Source organism: Homo sapiens, chromosome 6 (assembly GCF_000001405.40).
Source record: "Homo sapiens chromosome 6, GRCh38.p14 Primary Assembly".
Taxonomy (NCBI): domain Eukaryota; kingdom Metazoa; phylum Chordata; class Mammalia; order Primates; family Hominidae; genus Homo; species Homo sapiens.
The window spans coordinates 3,432,422-3,449,323 of NC_000006.12; the positions used below are offsets into that span (position 1 = coordinate 3,432,422).

Here is a 16,902-nt window from a genome sequence, read left to right on the forward strand (position 1 = left end):
CTGTTGTGTACAACTGCTCTTCAGCTCACTGTAAAACCAGGCAGAGGGAGGACTTCCAGGAACGCGTCTCCTTCTAGCTCTCCGCTTTGGCTCAGTAATTTCAGTAGCCATCATGACAAATGCATCATTTATGCAGAACATTTGGGGGCTTCAAATTTCTAAACTGTTATCCTAATAAAAGCACACCATCAGTTGTTTAACCTGCTTTCAGAGGAATGCAGTTCGTCTCAGGATGACACACGCACGCAAGCACAAACATGCTTCCTGATGAAGTGCAGAGTGGCTGGCAAACTTGAAGCCCTGGGAAAATCTTAGGAAAAGCACTGAACTTTTCATATGTTTAAATATGGTGGAAATGCCCACCTACAGTTCGTTGCTCTTTTTAAGGTTTTTAGCAAGGAGCAGGCAAATCAGGAGGCCTGGCCCTCCTTCTCTCACTAACTCATCCCTGTTGGGAGATACTTCCCCAGTGGCCTCCGGAACCTTGTGAAGGGAACGTACAATTCTGCAGAGCAGGTTCCATCAGAAGATAATTCCCTTCCTTGGCTTGAAACCCTACAAGCTGGGGCTTTGTGGCTCTTTGCAGCTGGCTGTGGGCTGGGTAACAGCAGAGGCCCCACCTGTTTCATTTGAGTTTCACTCAAAAGGCTTGCCCAGGTCATTCTTACAAAAAGGGAGGATAAATAGGTCTTCATCAAACGCTCACATGCAAGAGATGCCTACAGAGAGGCGGGAGGGCCTGGCTGCCAAAGCCACTCTCACATGCTGCACGGACAGGAGGAAACTCCTCAGAACAGCTGCTAAGTCACCCTTGGGACACAAACAGCAGCTGACTGGTAGTGCCACCTCTAGGTGGCTTCTCCCTGCCCAAATGGTACTAGCACCATTCCCACGGCCTCCTTATCAGCCCTAGGGAGTGAGTCCCAGAAGCTGTAGGGCCACACAGGGGCCACAACTCTCTAGGGCCAGGGATCCCTGCCCCTAACAAATGGTAACCCCCTCCCCACACTCCTCCCATCACTCCTGCTTCCTACCCCAAAAATTTTGAAAAGAAAAAGAGGAAACTTGCCTAGCTTATAAATAAGTCAAGACTTTTCAATGGCTGCCCTGATTCTGCCAATCAACTTTTAAATATTAGAACAGAGGGGTAGCCAGGAGTGGAAAGGATTGACAATGTTCAGCTTATAATGGGCACAGCAGTCTAAGCATAATCACCACAGGCTGGAAACAACCCTGCGTCCATCACCAATGGAGAGAGAAACACAGTGTTGTCTACCCATGCAGTGGAATATGGCTCAGCAACAAACAGGAACAACTATCAATGTGCACAGTACCATTCAGGAATCCAGGGATGAGACTGACACGGCGGACCACAGGCCTCCTTCATATAACCTTCCAGAATAGGCAAAACCATGCTATGGGGATAGATATTAACGCAGCGGTTGCCTAAGGGGTGGGCTGACTGGAGAATTCACTAGGGTGAAGGAAATACCTTAATTTAGGGGGTGGTTGATGGGCATATATACAAGTCAAAACCTACTAAGCTATACACTTAACATCTGTCCATTTTACTATGTGGTCATTATGCCTCCACTTTAAAAAATCTGTGAAAGCTGGGTACAGTGGCTCACCCCTGTAATCCCAGCACTTTGGGAGGCCGAGGCGATGGATCACCTGGGGTCAGGAGTTCGAGACCAGCCTGACCAACATGGTGAAACCCCATCTCTACTAAAAATACAAAATTAGCCAGGTGTGGTGGTGCATGCCTGTAATCCCAGCTACCTGGGAGGCTGAGGCAGGAGAATCACTTGAACCCGGGATGCGGAGATTGCAGTGAGCTGAGATCACGCCACTGTACTCCACCCTGGGCGACAGAGCGAAACTCTGTAAATAAATAAATAAATAAATAAAGAGCTGGGTGCGGTGGCTTATGCCTGCAATCCTAGCACTTTGGGAGGGCGGGTGGATCACAAGGTCAGGAGATCGAGACCAGCCTGGCCAACATGGTGAAATCCCATATCTACTAAAAATACAAAAATAAGCGGGGCATGGTGGTACCCGCCTGTAGTCCCAGCTACTCAGGAGGCTGAGGCAGGAGAATCGCTTGAATCTGGGAGGTGGAGGTTGCAGCAAGCAGAGATCGCGCCACTGCACTCCAGCCTGGGCAACAGAGCAAGACTCCATCTCAAAAAAAAAAAAATCTGTGAAATTATTTAAAATGGGTCCAAAGACAGGGCAGAAATATCTGATGGATTGCGAGGAGCATCAATTTTTTGTTCCTCCAACAGCACAAGGTCAGGCAGCAGAACGGAGGAGACGCGAGGGGTGTGGCCAATCCACCAACGGAATAACCGCAATGCCTGGATCAACCTCCAGGAGAGGGGGCATTTGATCGTATCCTCCCTTGTGCTTAGGAAATAGATCTCTAGGCCAAGAACTCAGAAAAGAGATGTGAAAGTTTCCCACAGATGCTATGTCAAGGCCTGAGGTTCTTAGCAGGTGTGCTTATGGGCTGCCTGTCAGTTCCAAACAGGAGTCTGACTGTCACTATATCAAAGGCAAGAAAAACAGCCCCAACCCATCCACACTGCTCCATAGAAACCTGGGCGGAGAACCCAGGCAACAAGGGTGCTGGAAGCGGCTGCTGGGAGTGAAGGACCCATGCTGGAAGTCCCCTACCCAGAGGGGCAGTGTGCAGGGGCTGGGATTCAGGCTGCTGGGGTCCAAATCTCAGCTCCAGCAGGTGGCTTAGCTTAGCTATAAGCCACAGAGAAGCCAACTTCTCAGGGGGCTGTCAGGATTCAGCCACGGCATCTGTAAAACACTCAGCCCAGCCAACCTGCAGCAATGAACTCTTCCTCCCCTCCCTTCCCTCTCCCTTCCTCATCTCTTCCTCCTGTTTCTCCCCACTTCCCCTCTCTTCCACCATCCCTGCTCCCCTTCCCCTCTCCGTCTCCCTTTTCCCCCTTTCCTTTCCCTCCTCCTCCCCTATGATGGGGACCCACACTCCCACCCCTGTTCCCAGCTACCTCTCCTGCAGTGGTGGGACCTGCCCTTCCCTCTAGTACCTGCAGCCTTCTGTCACCACCTGGATTGTGAACACGGCAGCCAACTCCTATGGAAGTTCTGGCAGCTGCCCTCACTTGCACATCTGATTTACAACAGACAGACTGGACGGAAAGCCCACTTACTGCAGAAGTGACATGAGAACACACTCAGCCCATGCTCCAGAGATGCGACTGCCTCCCTTCTCCCTGAAGGGACCCTGGGCAGGTTGAAGTGTGTCCACCCTGCCCCTAACAAGATATGCTGGAATCCAAACCCCAGAACCTCAAAATGTGACCCTGTTTGGAAATAGGGTTTTTACAGAGATGATTAAAGTTAAAGTAAGGTCTCTAGGGCGGGCCCTAATCCAAGGTGACTGGTGTCCTTACAAGGAGAGATGAGGACACAGACACACACAGAGGGAGGACCACGTGGGGACAGAGGGAGAAGACGCCATCTGCAAGCCAAGGAGAGAGAACTCAGGAGAAACTGACCCTGCCCACACCTGGATCTAGGACCTCCAACTTCCAAACCTGTAACAGAATACATTTCTGTGGTATTTGTTACACAGCCCAGCAAGCTAATACAGCGTGAGAATGAAGCCAGGGCAGAGGATGACCTAGAAGAGAACTAGAAAGAACTGGAGATTGCAGCCCGTCCTGTCTCTGGACTTCCAGAAATGTCATCTATACTTTTTTTTTTTGAGACGGAGTCTCAATCTGGAGTGCAATGGTGTGATATCGGCTCACTGCAATCTTTGCCTCCCAGGTTCGATTCTCCTGCCTCAGCCTCCCGGGTAGCTGGGATTACAGGTGCCCGCCACCACGTCCAGCTATTTTTTGTATTCTTAGTAGAGATGGTGTTTCACTATGTTGGTCAGGCTGGTCTCAAACTCCTGACCTCAGGTGACCCGCCCACCTTGGCCTCCCAAAGTGCTGGGATTACAGGCGTAAGCCACTGTGCCCGGGCCCTTCTGTATTTTTTTAAAGCAAGTTTGATGCAGGGTTTTCTGCTACTTGCAGCATCCTGACTGACCCCTCAAGCTTTCAAACTCTTCGCAGTCTTGTGCCATTCTCTCCTCCTAACTGAAATAAGTGTCTTCTCCCGCTCCTTCCCGTTACAGGGCGCACATCCCAGGGATTCCCAACTCTCTCTTCCCTATCTCCATGCACCGTGCACCGCTCTGCCAGGCTATTTTGGCCCCGCCTCTGTCTCCTGGGACCACCTGTTCTCCAAGCACACTCACAGATCCATCCTCCCTGTCTCCTGCAGCTCCCAGCACAGTGCTGTGCACAAAGTATCAGCTCAATAAACATCTGAATGTTAACACACTGCTCAGGACATGCCTGGTGCAGTATTTTCCCCACATAATTTTGAACTATAAGACTAGACCACTGTGTTTGCTATATAGATTCAAACAGATCGCAAAAGAAAGGCTGCTGTGTGTCGTTGCTTCCCCGTACTCAAGGAGAAAATGCCTTCTGAAGACTTAAAAACTTCTTTTCAGTAAGATGATCCATACATCCTCAGTCTGTAAATTGCCTGGTAACCTTCTGCTGTCAAAGGTCATTTCAGCTTCGCAAAAACTGCTGTTAAAAATGAGATTCATCATCAAAGTTGCCGTTGGCTTTCCTCACCACCCTCCCATTGGTCACTTATCTAAGACTCTGCCCCAAAAGAACTATAGTTATAAACGATGAACAACAAGAAGGCAAACGAGAAATGAATTAAACAGTGAAACCATTTGCTTATACTTAAACCACATTATCAGCAAACACATAAAACCAAAAAAAAACCCCAAAACAAAACAAAACCACACACATCAAAATTCCCTCATAGTCTTGACAATATCCACTTTTGACAAGTTGTTTCTTATGGGACTTCCCAGAAAAATATTACAAATAAGTCTTCTTTTAAAATGAAATAATAGGCCAGGCGCGGTGGCTCACGCCTGTAATCCCAGCACTTTGGGAGGCCGAGGTGGGCGGATCATGAGGTCACGAGATGGAGACCACCCTGGCTAACACAGTGAAACCCCGTCTCTACTAAAAACAAAAAAAAATTAAAAAAAAATTAGTCAGGTGTGGTGGCAGGCGCCTGTAGTCCCAGGTACTCGGGAGGCTGAGGCAGGAGAATGGCGTGAACCCAGGAGGCGGAGCTTGCAGAGAGCTGAGATCGTGCCACTGCACTCCAGCCTGGGTGACAGAGCGAGACTCCGTCTCAAAAAATAAATAAATAAATAATAATAATTTTAAAAACCCACTCTGGAACTTACTAGATTTTTTTTTTTTTTTTTTTGAGACAGAGTTTTGCTCTTGTTGCCCAGGCTGGAATGCAGTGGCACCATCTTGGCTCACTGCAACCTCTGCCTCCCAGGTTCAAATGATTCTCCTGCCTCAGCCTCCCAAGTAGCTGGGACTACAGGCATGTGCCACCACACCCAGCTAATTTTTTCGTGAAGATTTTGATGACTCCAGAAAATAGAATTCCAGAAACCGGTAAGCCCCAGACAGGCTCCTGTGGGAACCCATCACCTTCTTGCATTTCACTCCCTCTAGCCAGATGGGCTCCAATCGAACATCTTTGTTGCCTGCTTGAAAGTAGCTCTGAGAGTCAGACATGGGCCCCTGCCAGGACACCCAGCTAAGTCTCCCCTGCCACCACCATTGACAGCCGTGTGCTAGAGGCACCAAGAACATCAAGAACACTCCAAAAGGAAGACAACGCTACCAAGTCCAGGGCCAAGAGAGTGAGACAAGGCAGACAGTGCTGCGATCATGTAAGCAGGACCCATCCTGCTGGGGAAGGGGTCACTCTGGATACCCAAGGGGGCCCCGGCCAGCAGTCCAGCTAATACCTAGCACACTCACTTTCGGAGCCGGCAAAGCCACGAGGTGCCTGCCTTGGCACAGGTAGCAGATGTTTCACTGGGACTAGATGATCCATCAGGCTTGCTGCCTGGGCCCCTGGCGGGAACCAGCCTGATCTATTACTCAGCAAACGTAAACAGTGCTTACGTTCAGCTCCGGCCTCCAGCGCTTGGTGTCTGTGTCCCACGGGAGAGCTCCAGTTTCCTGCTGCTGACAACACTATAAAACCACCGTAATAGGAATTAATTATGGAAAAGGCTAGTTTGAATTAGAGACATTTTGAAAATAAGTACCTTTTACTTCCAAACAAACGTTTCCTTTTCTAGTAATTAACCGTTATTCTAAGTAGAGGTTCAAAGGACCTACTTCAAGGAGTGACTTGGTCATTAGCAACATTCATTCCTGTATAAATATACTATGGCCCTTTTCCCAAACATGCTTTCCTAGGTGGGCTAAACGTGCCTGCTGCCTGCTGAGCTTTGTTTATTCCATAACGAGCTCAGCAAACCCTTTCTTCACAGAGGGCAGGGAACCGTGGCTGCCTTGTGGGAATTCCCAGCAGGATGAAACACCCTCAGCCTGAACACCCATGTGTCCCGTACTGTGGGTTAAAGAGCAGAGGTCCCACTGTCCCACCCCACAGGCTTGGCCATCTGTTGGGTGTGGTCAGGAAATACAATGAGTGTTTTTATTAGTCTAGACCGGGGTTTCTCAAACTTGCCGTATTTGGGGCCGGATCTGACCGGGGTTTCTCAAACTTGCCGTATTTGGGGCCGGATCTGGGGCCGGATCATCCCTTGTGGTGTGGACAGTCCTGTGCCCTGTAGGATGTTTAGCAGTACCCCTGCCTCTACCCACCAGGCGCCAGTAGCACCCTCCCCCCATGCCCCCAAAGGTGTGACAACAACGACAAAAATGTCTCCAGACATTGCCGAATGTTCTCTGGGAGCAAAATCATACCCCGTGGAAAGTGTCCAGAGAACTTCTTTTAAACGATGGATGCTGGGGTCCTACAGGCATTTCTGAAAGTTCCCCAGGGTGACTCTAAGTGCACCGGAGCCACTGCGGCCCTGGACGAAGATGGGCCCGTTCCACGTGAAGAAAAGGCTCTGTGACCTACCTAAAGTTCTGAACAGCAGTGGTTTAAAGACATAATCAACTCCAGAGCCCAGTATGATCCACCCAAGTTTGATTAGTTGCCATTTCAGATAAGCTACATAACTCTTCTTAATCTTCAATAGCTCACTGAAATGTGACTTTAGGTTTGAGCCAACTTACGAATCTGTCCTCTTTTATTCTTGTCATCTTAGAATTAAGCCATCCAACCTCACTCAAATGAGAGCAAAACCCTTTCGCCACCTCCTTACTGGCACCATGCAGGAAGTGTTTACAGAGTACCTGCTAGGCCCAGGGGCTGAGGATATATATTCAGGCCAGGACAGCAGGGGTGGGAAACGGGAAGGGAGGAAGAGGGAGCCAAGAAGGTCTGAAGGAGGCAACAGGATGGAGGGGTGGACTCTGGGCTGAAAGAAGAGCATGGGGGAACACAGCATTGTTTGGGAAATAAACAAATCGGTGGGTGGAGCTCTGGGGTCCCTGTGGGGATGATGGGGATGGAGGCAGGAGAGGCAGGCAGAGACCGTGAAACCTACCACCCAGGCCCAACTTCACCTTAAAGGTCATGGAGAGCCACGGAGGATTTGAAGCAAGGGAGTGATAAAGAGCCACTCAGCTAGGGTCCAAGGACCAAAACACTGGGATTTAGGGAAAAGGCACAGATAAGATCAGGTACCACAAGAGAGGGCCAGTCCAGCAGGTTGGGGAATGCACAGGCCTAGGGCTTCAGGGAACTATCCCGGGTGCAGATACAGATCAGAGCTGCCCTGCTCAGGGTCCATGCTGGAGCTCTGCTGTCATGAGCTGTACTGTCCCCTCAAAGCTCCAGCGTTGAAGCTGTAACCCCCAGGACCTCAGAATGTGACTGTGTTTCAAGAGTGGGCTTTTAAAGAGGGTAGTAAGGTCAAATGCAGCTATTAGGGTGGGTCCTGATCCAATTCGACTGGGGTCCCTATAAGAAGAGGAGATGAGTGGCCGGGTGCGGTGGCTCATGCCTGTAATCCCAGCACTTTGGGAGGCCGAGGCAGGTGGATCATGAGGTCAGGAGTTCGAGACCAGCCTGGCCAAGATGGTGAAACCCCATCTCTACTAAAAAATACAAAAATTAGCTGGGCACGGTGGCGGGCGCCTGTAATCCCAGCTACTCGGGAGGCTGAGGCAGGAGAATAGTTTGAACCCAGGAGGTGGAGGTTGCAGTGAGCTGAGATCACACCACTGCACTCTAGCCTGGGCAACAGAGCAAGACTCCGTCTCAGAAAAAAAAAAAAAAAGAAGAGGAGATGAGGACGCAGACACACACAGAGGGAAGACTGTGTGAGGACACGAAGACAGCCATGTAACAAGCCAAGGAGAGAGGCCTCAGGAGAAACCAATCCTGCTGAACCTTGGTCTTGGACTTCCAGCCTCCAGAACTGTAAGGAAATACATCTCTGCAGTTGAAGCTGCCCGTCTGTGGTATTCTGCAGCCCTAGAAACTCACCCAGGGAGGTCAACTGAAATTCCTGAGCAGTTGTGTGGGGTCCGGCATCAGGCAAGCCTGACAGCCTCTGTAGTGGAGAGACCACATGGTGCTGGGCTGGGGCCTGTAGGAGGCAGGAGCACTGGGCACTGGGCAGAGAAGGTGCTTGGCAGGAGCTCAGACATGTCGAGAGGGAGAGGGCTGTGGCCCCCAGGTAGGACCATGGGGCCTACCACAGTTTTGTGATGGGGGCTCGTTCAGGTGGTTTTCAAGAGGCATTGAGTAACATGGGTGTGTCCTGGAGGTACAGCGCCTCAGGGGCTGGCTTGAGGGGCTGTGGACAGACCCTTTGGGTGGACACGAGCCCTTCTCTCCTGGATCTCTCCCATCAAGTCCTAAAATCTCGTTCTTCCATCATTTCCTTACTTACAAAGTTCAGGAGACTCATTGTCTACTGGGGGAAAAAAATCAAGCTATGCCGAAGGCTGACTCTATGGCTTTGTAGGGGGGCCTTGCAGGGTCAGGACCCATGCCCTCCTCTAGGCCACGTCCTCTCTGCACTCTGCACATGTCCCTTCCCCACCTTCATCAGCTCCTCACAGAAGAGGTCCTCTCTCAATCCTTTCAACTGCTCAAACCCAAGCCCTCCTTGGGGATAGCTCAGATGCCACAGCCCCCTGGGCTTCCCTGCCCACTGACGGAAGCGACTCCTCTGCGCCCCTGCACCTTGTCCTGTTCTTGGGCCAAGGCACCTCACAGTGCACTGCACCTGCCCTCCTGGGATGTGCTCGGTTCACCCCCCACCCTCAGCTCCCATTCCCTGCCCCGCTCATCCTGTGCCGCATGCCAGGGATATTCAATTTCCCAACCGTCTCCGGCTACATGAGGAGCTCCCTTCTCCAGGGCAGACACGATCTTCTACCCATCTGTGACACCAGCCCAGGGCAGATGTTCTGAGAGGAAGACAGGGACACCACGCAAGCAGCTGCAGCACTGCCTCTGAAGGGGAGGGCACGGGAGGGATGGAGGGATTGTCCGGAACTGTCTTCAAGAAGGAGGGCATCACCCAAGTTCCCAGCCGCACATGCACCATAGCCAAGGGGTAGAGGCGACCCAAGTGTCTGCCGATGGGTGAACAAACAAACAGAATGTGGTGCAGGCACACAATGGCGTATTCCTCAGTCTAAGGCAGGCAGGAAACGCTCACACACGCTACCACATGGATGAGCCTTGAAGACATCACGCTGAGCGACATGAGCCAGTCACAAAAGGACAAATGCTCTATTTATATGAGGTACCCGGAGTAAGCAAATTCAAAGAGGCAGAAGGTAGCGTGGGGTTGCCAGAGGAGGGGAATGGGGAGCTGGGGTTTCATGGGGACAGTTTCAGTTTGGGAAGATGGAATTGTTCTGGAGATGGATGATGGTGCCAGCTGCACAACAATGAGGATGCACCTAAAGCCACAGAACTGTACACTGAAAAATGGCTAAAATAGTACATTTTATAATTTATAGTTTTACCACAATTACAAATAAAGACAAGTTTTAAAAAGAGTAGGACAAAGACTATCCGCTTACTGCAGACGCTAAAGTATATCCATCTGAGAACAGTGGAGTTCCTCAACACATAGCAATCAAGGGCGCCCAATTTGTAAAGCATCTTGTAAACACATGCAAAAGGCAGCTTTTCATCTAATCTGGGAGGAAACACTCCATAGTGCAAATTACGATGCTAAGTACATAACCCGTCCATAATACAATATGACCACTGGGATGCTTGTGGCTGTTTTAAGCCAGCATTATCTCCCTTGCACCTATTTTTAAAATGATTCTAAGAAATAAAGCACGACTGTTAGCTAGTTGAATTAAATTACATAAAGGATTGACCCTCCTCCCCACTTTATTTAAAAAAAAAAAACACCTGATAAACACTTAACTAGCATTCCTACGACTTAACATCCTTAACCACACATCTCTGTGACTCAGCTCTTTGGTTCTCTGTTCAGATAAGTAAAGCAACTGTCTCAACTTTGAGAGAGCGGCATTTTCAAATGGAAGACTGCTCCCTGGCTCCTTCATGCCATTGCACACCTTGAGCTAACCAAACATCCCAAACAAAATTGCTCAGGGCTCTGTAAAGCTGTTCCCTGGGAAAAGTAGGCCCTCAAAAAGTGTGTTTTGCTTTTTACCAAAAGAAATCTAGAAAAAGACATGAAGTACAATGGAGGAGAGGCAGAGAAGTTACTGAGAAACAAGGAAGACAGACTGGGAAAGGCTTGGGGAAACCCTTGCCTAGCTCTGCAGTGGTGACAACACACTTTGTCAACAAGGGACTCTGCATTTTTATTTTCCACGGGGACCTGCGAATTATGTAGCTGGCCCTGACTAGAAGAAATGTTTGGAAAGCAGGAGACTGGCCCTGTGTGAAGGCAGGGGTGGGAGTGACAATTGGCAACACTGTGTTGGTGACTGTCCAACGGCTCCTTCCAAGATCCCTGGGTGATCTGGAGCTAATATCTAAGGCCATGTTTAATTATTCCTAGAAGAGAAGCCTCAGGAGGTATGTTCCTGCTAATTCCACACTCAGCTCAAGTAGCCAGCAGGTGAGTTACATCCTGAGTCTCTGGGAGGGAAAAGAATACTTTGTTTAAAGCATTTAGTGGTTAAATCATCAATACTCAATTACCCTCAATTAATTGCCAGAAACATCTGCCTATAACCCCTTCCACCCCAGCTTGAAGAACAGCCGGAACCATATCCTGTCACACCGTTTGAAGGAGTCCCCAGCCCTGCGTAACCTCACTCCCTGCTCCAAAACCTCCTTTCCCTCACCCCAATCCATGCTGGGAATCAGATTTGCACCCAGGAAGCTGGAGTTGGACAGAGAGATGCTGACCTCTGTGTTGGCCGTTGCTTGACCAGGGATCACATGAGCAAAAGCATCAGGCGAAGCCAGTTTGAAGTGGGAACCGAGCTCACTTCTGGAGAATGGGATGAGAAGATATAGCTTCTGAGTGTCCTAAAAGACACTCCCCACCCCACTTTGTGATCTCAGATCCCACCTTCCACCTGCTGCCCTGCATCTTTCCAAGAAATTCCTTTTATATTTTGTTAATGTAATTTAAATTTGTTTTAGTTACTTGTAGCCAAAAGAGACCGAAGAGAGGTCTGACAGGATACAATACCATGCAGATGCCATGGGTGGGCGCGTGCTGGCGGTATCCTCTCACAGCAATGGTTTATTTTAGAGGAATCCACTTCATGCACTCAACAGCCCCTGCCCTTTCCCAGACAAATAGGTCCCTGTCAATCTCTAAATCACTTGTGTGGAGGGAGATCTGCTCATCAATAGTGACACAAAGAACAAAACAACTAAACCCCAGCCTGCAGAAGATTAAGGTTTCTACAATACTGAGGTCAAAGTCCATGGCATCCCATAAAATCTCAGCTGCAAGTGGGAAGGGGCCCCAGCCCTTTCTCCAGTTTTCAACTTGCCCCTACGTTTGCTCTCTGAGCTCTGCTGCTATGAGCTCAAAGTCACCAACAACTCGTCTCTCAAATTCCACTCTCTCTGAGCCATATGTTCACGCAGCACACCCAAGCCAGGCTTTCAAACACATGCAGCTCATCTTCCACTCAATGGCATAAACTCAGATTTCTGGCCTGAGAACTCCAGGAGGCAGTGAAGCGCCAGGCAGAGCCCCACTCTCCCGGCCTTGGCTAACCAGGCCTTGGCTACCCAGGAAGGTCCCCTGGCTTTCTGATCCCGGCCTCTCTCTGAGCCCTGTGGCCCGGTGACCTGTTTTGTTTTCAGGTTGGAACTTAGACACATAAACCCTGTAGAGGGTGCTTTTTGGTGGGGCTCCTCCCATCACCCTGGATGCAGGCTTCCTGTCTGAAGGGCATACCTGGCTCCGAACATCATCGGTTTCTGGGTGAAGGCGGCAGACACCTGGCAGCGCCCAAGGAATAAATCGCCCTTCCAGGTGTGGCCTTCAGCTCCTCCCCCCTCAAAGTGCTTCTCAGACGACTCATCCCGGTCGTCCTCACCCCACCAAGGGGAGGAAGGAAGGCACCTGAGGCTTCCAGGGTGGGGGCTGTTTGCCAGGTACGTGGGGGTGGGGCACGCTTCCCAGTGTTCTGCGTCTGTCCTCACAATGGCCCTCAAGGTCAGGCAGCACTGACCGCATTCTACCATTGAGGAAACAGGTGCAGTAATGCTCTGGGAGAGAGACCCATGACAAGTGGCAGAGTTGGGGCTGCAAGCCAGGCCTGCCACTCTTGCCCCCCTTTATTTTTTTTTTTTGAGACAGAGTCTCACTGTGTCCCCCAGGCTGGAGTGCAATGGCGCCATCTTGGCTCACTGCAACTTCCGCCTCCCAGGTTCAAGCAATTGTCCTGCCTCAGCCTCCTGAGTAGCTGGGATTACAGGCACGCACCACCATACCCAGCTAATTTTTGTATTTTTAGTAGAGACCAGGGTTTCACCATGTTGGCCAGCTGGTCTCAAAACTCCTGACCTCAGGGGATCCACCTGCCTCGGCCTCCCGAAGTGCTGGGATTACAGGCATGAGCCACTGTGCCCGGCCACTCTTGCCCTTTTCATGACATCAAGTTCAGATGAGTTCAGACATTTATGGTGTTAACCTCATAAAGTCAAAGAGCTTCAGGAGGGGAGAGAGACGGGCATCCTTCCAACCAGGGTCCAGTGAGGGCTTGGATAAGGGGACAGCTGGTTGCCGTCCTTCAGATGGAGACTGAGCTGACCTGAGGGATGAGCAGGAACCAAGGGGCTGAAGGAAGGAGGGAAGGGGCTCGAGCAAGTGGAATAGCATGAGCAAGGCACAAGGCAGTGAGAGAGACCGGGCTGGGAACTATTAATATATACAAGATGCCCCCTACAACAAGGAGGGGTGGCAGGGGAGGAGAGGAAAGACATGTGGGGCTCAGGGCTGAGGGCACCCTTGATGGGTGCTGCAGTGATGGGGAGCCATGGAAGGCTTCAAGCAGGGAAGTGATGTGGGCAGGTTTCCATCTTATTTTCTGTCTCTCGGGCCTGTGGTGTTAAAAGCAGCAAGACAAGATGGGGGCCTGGCTAGCCGGGACTAAGAAGACAGAGAGTAGAGAAATCTGCCCAGAGAGGTGTTCTGCGGAAGTCCACCCATGCAAAGCCACAGCTGAACTGTCCAGAAACCCAAACATACAGCAACCACCATTCTCAAGCACAACGGGAGGGTCACCTCTGAAAGGCCAGCGCCAGGGAGAAGTCACAAAGGGTGGGAGCCCCTGCCAGCCCTTCCCAGCCCCTCTCCCATGGTAAGGGCCACTCTGGGGCAGAGGATAAGGAGAACTGAATTCAAACCCTAATAGGTTGGTGGCTTTGGACAAGCCAATGGCCCTCCAGCTCAGCCTTCTCATCTAAACTGAAGGCTTGGACTAGATAATCATATTAAACATGGCCACGCCCAGGACAATCTTTTACCTAGACTAAGCAATTAGCAAAGGCAAAGCCAGCTGAATTTGAAGGCAAATTCTAGCCCCATGGTTTCACATATCTGGGTCTTTCAGCTGTGTGGAAACTTAATTAGCATCCTCCCTTGTTGAGTAGGAGGGCCAGAGAAAATGGCAGAACACGCCAAAGGCCCCGAGTTTTCTATCGACAGCCCTGGGAACAGGCTCAGGCCCCCTTGTCTGGCCTCTGAGCTTCCAGTAGGACTTCCCACTATTCATCCCCAGAACCCCTGCGCAGGCCAGCATGTCTGCTTCCCAAACAGGCCCAGTTTCCTCCAGAACCTCTGGTCAGGCTGCCTTTCCCTGTCAAAAGCTCTCCTCCCTCCCCTCTGCCTATGGGTGGCTACAGAGCCCCAAGTCTCCATCGTACGTGCGGTGTTTGGGCCCAGGCCCTCGTCTCACTCCACATGCCCTCCATTGAAGCCCTCCATTCCCAAGGCCTCACCTCAGCTGGCTAAGGGCATCTCCCTGGTATCTCCCGAGAGTGTCTGCCTCCCCGTCAGCCCTGGGGGAGTTATCAGCATCTTCTACAGGCCTCGCTGGCTTTCTCCTGTGCACTCAGCACAGCCTCCCCTCCCCACCACGCGAGATCTCACTGCAGCCAGAGAGGTCTTTTCAAAAATACGAACTCTGACTGCATCATATCCCTTATCCCACTTAATACTCTTTAATGGTTTTCCTTTGCTCTAAAATTAGAGGAAAAGTTCTTAGCACGGTTTATAAGCCATCGCCACCCCCCATTCCCATATCAATTGCTATCAATTCCAGGCCCTACACACCACAGGGCCTTTGCAAGTGCCATTTGCTGTCTCTGGAAAACACACACATCTCTCCTCTTTTGCCTCTCTCTCTACCTCCTACTCAAACCTCAGCTCTCATCTCAGATGTCACTTTCTTACATAGACCAGTCTGTCTAGGTCAGGGTTTTGTTGTTGTTGTTCTAGTCTCTCAATTCCCTTTCTTTCTACACGCTTAACTCACTTTGTAATGAAAAGATTATTACTTGATCAGTTTGGGTGTGCCTTCCCCAGAAGTCTCTAAGCTCTATGGAAGCTGAGCTGTCTACTTTCACATATCATTGTATCCCCAACACATAGCACAATGCTCAGCTCAGAACAGGCACTCAAATCTGTGAAAAGGAGGAGAGAGGAAAGAAACTTTCTTTTTTTTTTTTTTTTTTTGTCTGAGACAGAGTCTTGCTCTGTTGCCCAGGCTGGAGTGCAGTGGTGCAATCTCGGCTCACTGCAAGCTCCGCCTCCCGGGTTCACGCCATTCTCCTGCCTCAGCCTCCCAAGTAGCTGGGACTACAGGTGCCCGCCACCACACCTGGATAATTATTTGTATTTTTAGTAGAGATGGGGTTTCACTGTGTTAGTCAGTATGGTCTCCATCTCCTGACCTCATGATCCACCCACCTCGGCCTCCCAAAGTGCTGGGATTACAGGCATGAGCTACCATGCCTGGCCTCTCTCTCTCTTTTTTTTTTTTTTTTTTTGAGATAGATGGAGTCTCACTCTGTTGCCCAGACTGGAGTGCAATGGCGCAATCTTGGCTCACTGCAACCTCTGCCTCCTGGGTTCAAGCGATTCTCCTGCCTCAGCCTCCTGAGTAGCTGGGATTACAGGCACCCACCACCATGCCCAGCTAATTTTTGTATATTTAGTAGAGGCGGGGTTTCACCATGTCGGTCAGGCTGGTCTTGAACTCCTGACCTCAGGTGATCCACCTCCCTCGGCCTCCCGAAGTGCTGGGATTACAGGCGTGAGCCACCGCGCCCGGCCAAAAAAATTTTTTCAAGTGGTCCAGGGTCACACTCATTAGTGTGATAAATGTTTAACAACCGGCTCTATGAAGAAAAAAAACCCTGATCTCCACTGTTTGCCAATTCCTATGGTGTAAATGCTCCCACCATGGTGAATTTCAAGCTGCCAGCATGACATTACTGAATGTGAAGTTGGATAGACACGTGCAGCAGGCTCAGAGTCAATAGAAGCCAAGCTGGCTCCCACACACCACCAGTTTGTGGCAACCTCAGGACAAAGATTCAGAAAGTCCACCATGTTTTTTTGTTTTTTGTTTTTTGTTTTTTGAGACGGAGCCTGGCTCTGTCCCCCAGACAGTTAGTGCAGTGTTGTGATCTCCGCTCACTGCAAGCTCCGCCTCCCGAGTTCACGCCATTCTCCTGCCTCAGCCTCCCGAGTAGCTGGGACTACAGGCGCCCGCCACCACGCCCTCCTAATTTTTTTGTATGTTTAGTAGAGACGGGGTTTCACCACGTTGGCCAGGATGGTCTTGAACTCCTGACCTCGTGATCCGCCCACCTCGGCCTCCCAAAGTGCTGGGATTACAGGCGTGAGCAACCGCGCCCAGCCCCCACCATGTTTTTAAATGACACCAACTTTCGACTCAATCCTATCTTGGACTAAAGGCCAAAGTAAAGGCACCTGCAGAAAATGTTGCTACAGAGAGGCAGAGGGAGACGGAGAGGGAGAGGGAGAGATCTGCAGATGGTTCAGAACAGGAAGATGAAGAAGGAAAGGGAGACCTGTGACCTGGGAAGACAGCTATCTCCCAAACGGAGGTGGAAAGGCTGCTTAACAGCTGGCTAGCCTCTAATCCTTACATTAATAAGGGCCACTGCCAAACTAAATGTTTAGGACGTTGTTACAAGCAAGTCAACGTCTGCATGAAATGCTGGTTATATCCTCTGACCTTTCTAGCAATTTATCCTAATAGCTCAGAAAAGCAAAACAGGTATCTCCAACCCCAAAATAAAGAAGTTATAAGATCATAAAAATGTTAGAAGAAAACATAGGATTTCCCCCCAGTCTTCCAGGAATCTTCCAAGCCTTAAAGCTAACATAAGAAATCATAAAAAAGAAGATTAATTCATACAACTCTA

General features: G+C 50.2%; 1 protein-coding gene across 16 annotated transcripts in view, besides 4 other annotated features; it reads right to left on the bottom strand.

The window, feature by feature from the left end:
• The window catches only part of SLC22A23 (solute carrier family 22 member 23), a 188,078-nt gene that overhangs the window by 163,449 nt on the left and 7,727 nt on the right, over positions 1-16,902 (bottom strand). For 6 of the 16 annotated variants that reach the window (XR_001743575.2, XR_007059328.1, XM_011514801.3 and 3 more), the window contains exon 2: positions 6,063-6,134. The exons of 5 other annotated variants lie outside the window; for them this stretch is intronic. Coding sequence is in view for 5 of the 11 variants with exons in the window: in XM_011514801.3 (XP_011513103.1) it covers positions 6,063-6,134 (72 nt within the window). In the remaining 6 variants the exon portion in view is untranslated. 5 more of the 16 variants (NR_104448.2, NM_001286455.1, NM_021945.6 and 2 more) reach the window with 3 other exon arrangements.
• Positions 527-666: an enhancer, noted in NCBI's record as "active region_23891". NCBI's record gives its function as "activates an Ori minimal core promoter by ATAC-STARR-seq in GM12878 lymphoblastoid cells {active_cell/tissue: GM12878}" and the evidence as "EXISTENCE:reporter gene assay evidence [ECO:0000049][PMID:35858748]".
• Positions 727-806: an enhancer, noted in NCBI's record as "active region_23892". NCBI's record gives its function as "activates an Ori minimal core promoter by ATAC-STARR-seq in GM12878 lymphoblastoid cells {active_cell/tissue: GM12878}" and the evidence as "EXISTENCE:reporter gene assay evidence [ECO:0000049][PMID:35858748]".
• Positions 13,760-14,307: an enhancer, noted in NCBI's record as "H3K27ac-H3K4me1 hESC enhancer chr6:3446415-3446962 (GRCh37/hg19 assembly coordinates)". NCBI's record gives its function as "activates a minimal SCP1, AML or CMV promoter by ChIP-STARR-seq in primed H9 embryonic stem cells {active_cell/tissue: H9 hESC(primed)}" and the evidence as "EXISTENCE:reporter gene assay evidence [ECO:0000049][PMID:30033119]".
• Positions 14,308-14,854: an enhancer, noted in NCBI's record as "H3K27ac-H3K4me1 hESC enhancer chr6:3446963-3447509 (GRCh37/hg19 assembly coordinates)". NCBI's record gives its function as "activates a minimal SCP1, AML or CMV promoter by ChIP-STARR-seq in primed H9 embryonic stem cells {active_cell/tissue: H9 hESC(primed)}" and the evidence as "EXISTENCE:reporter gene assay evidence [ECO:0000049][PMID:30033119]".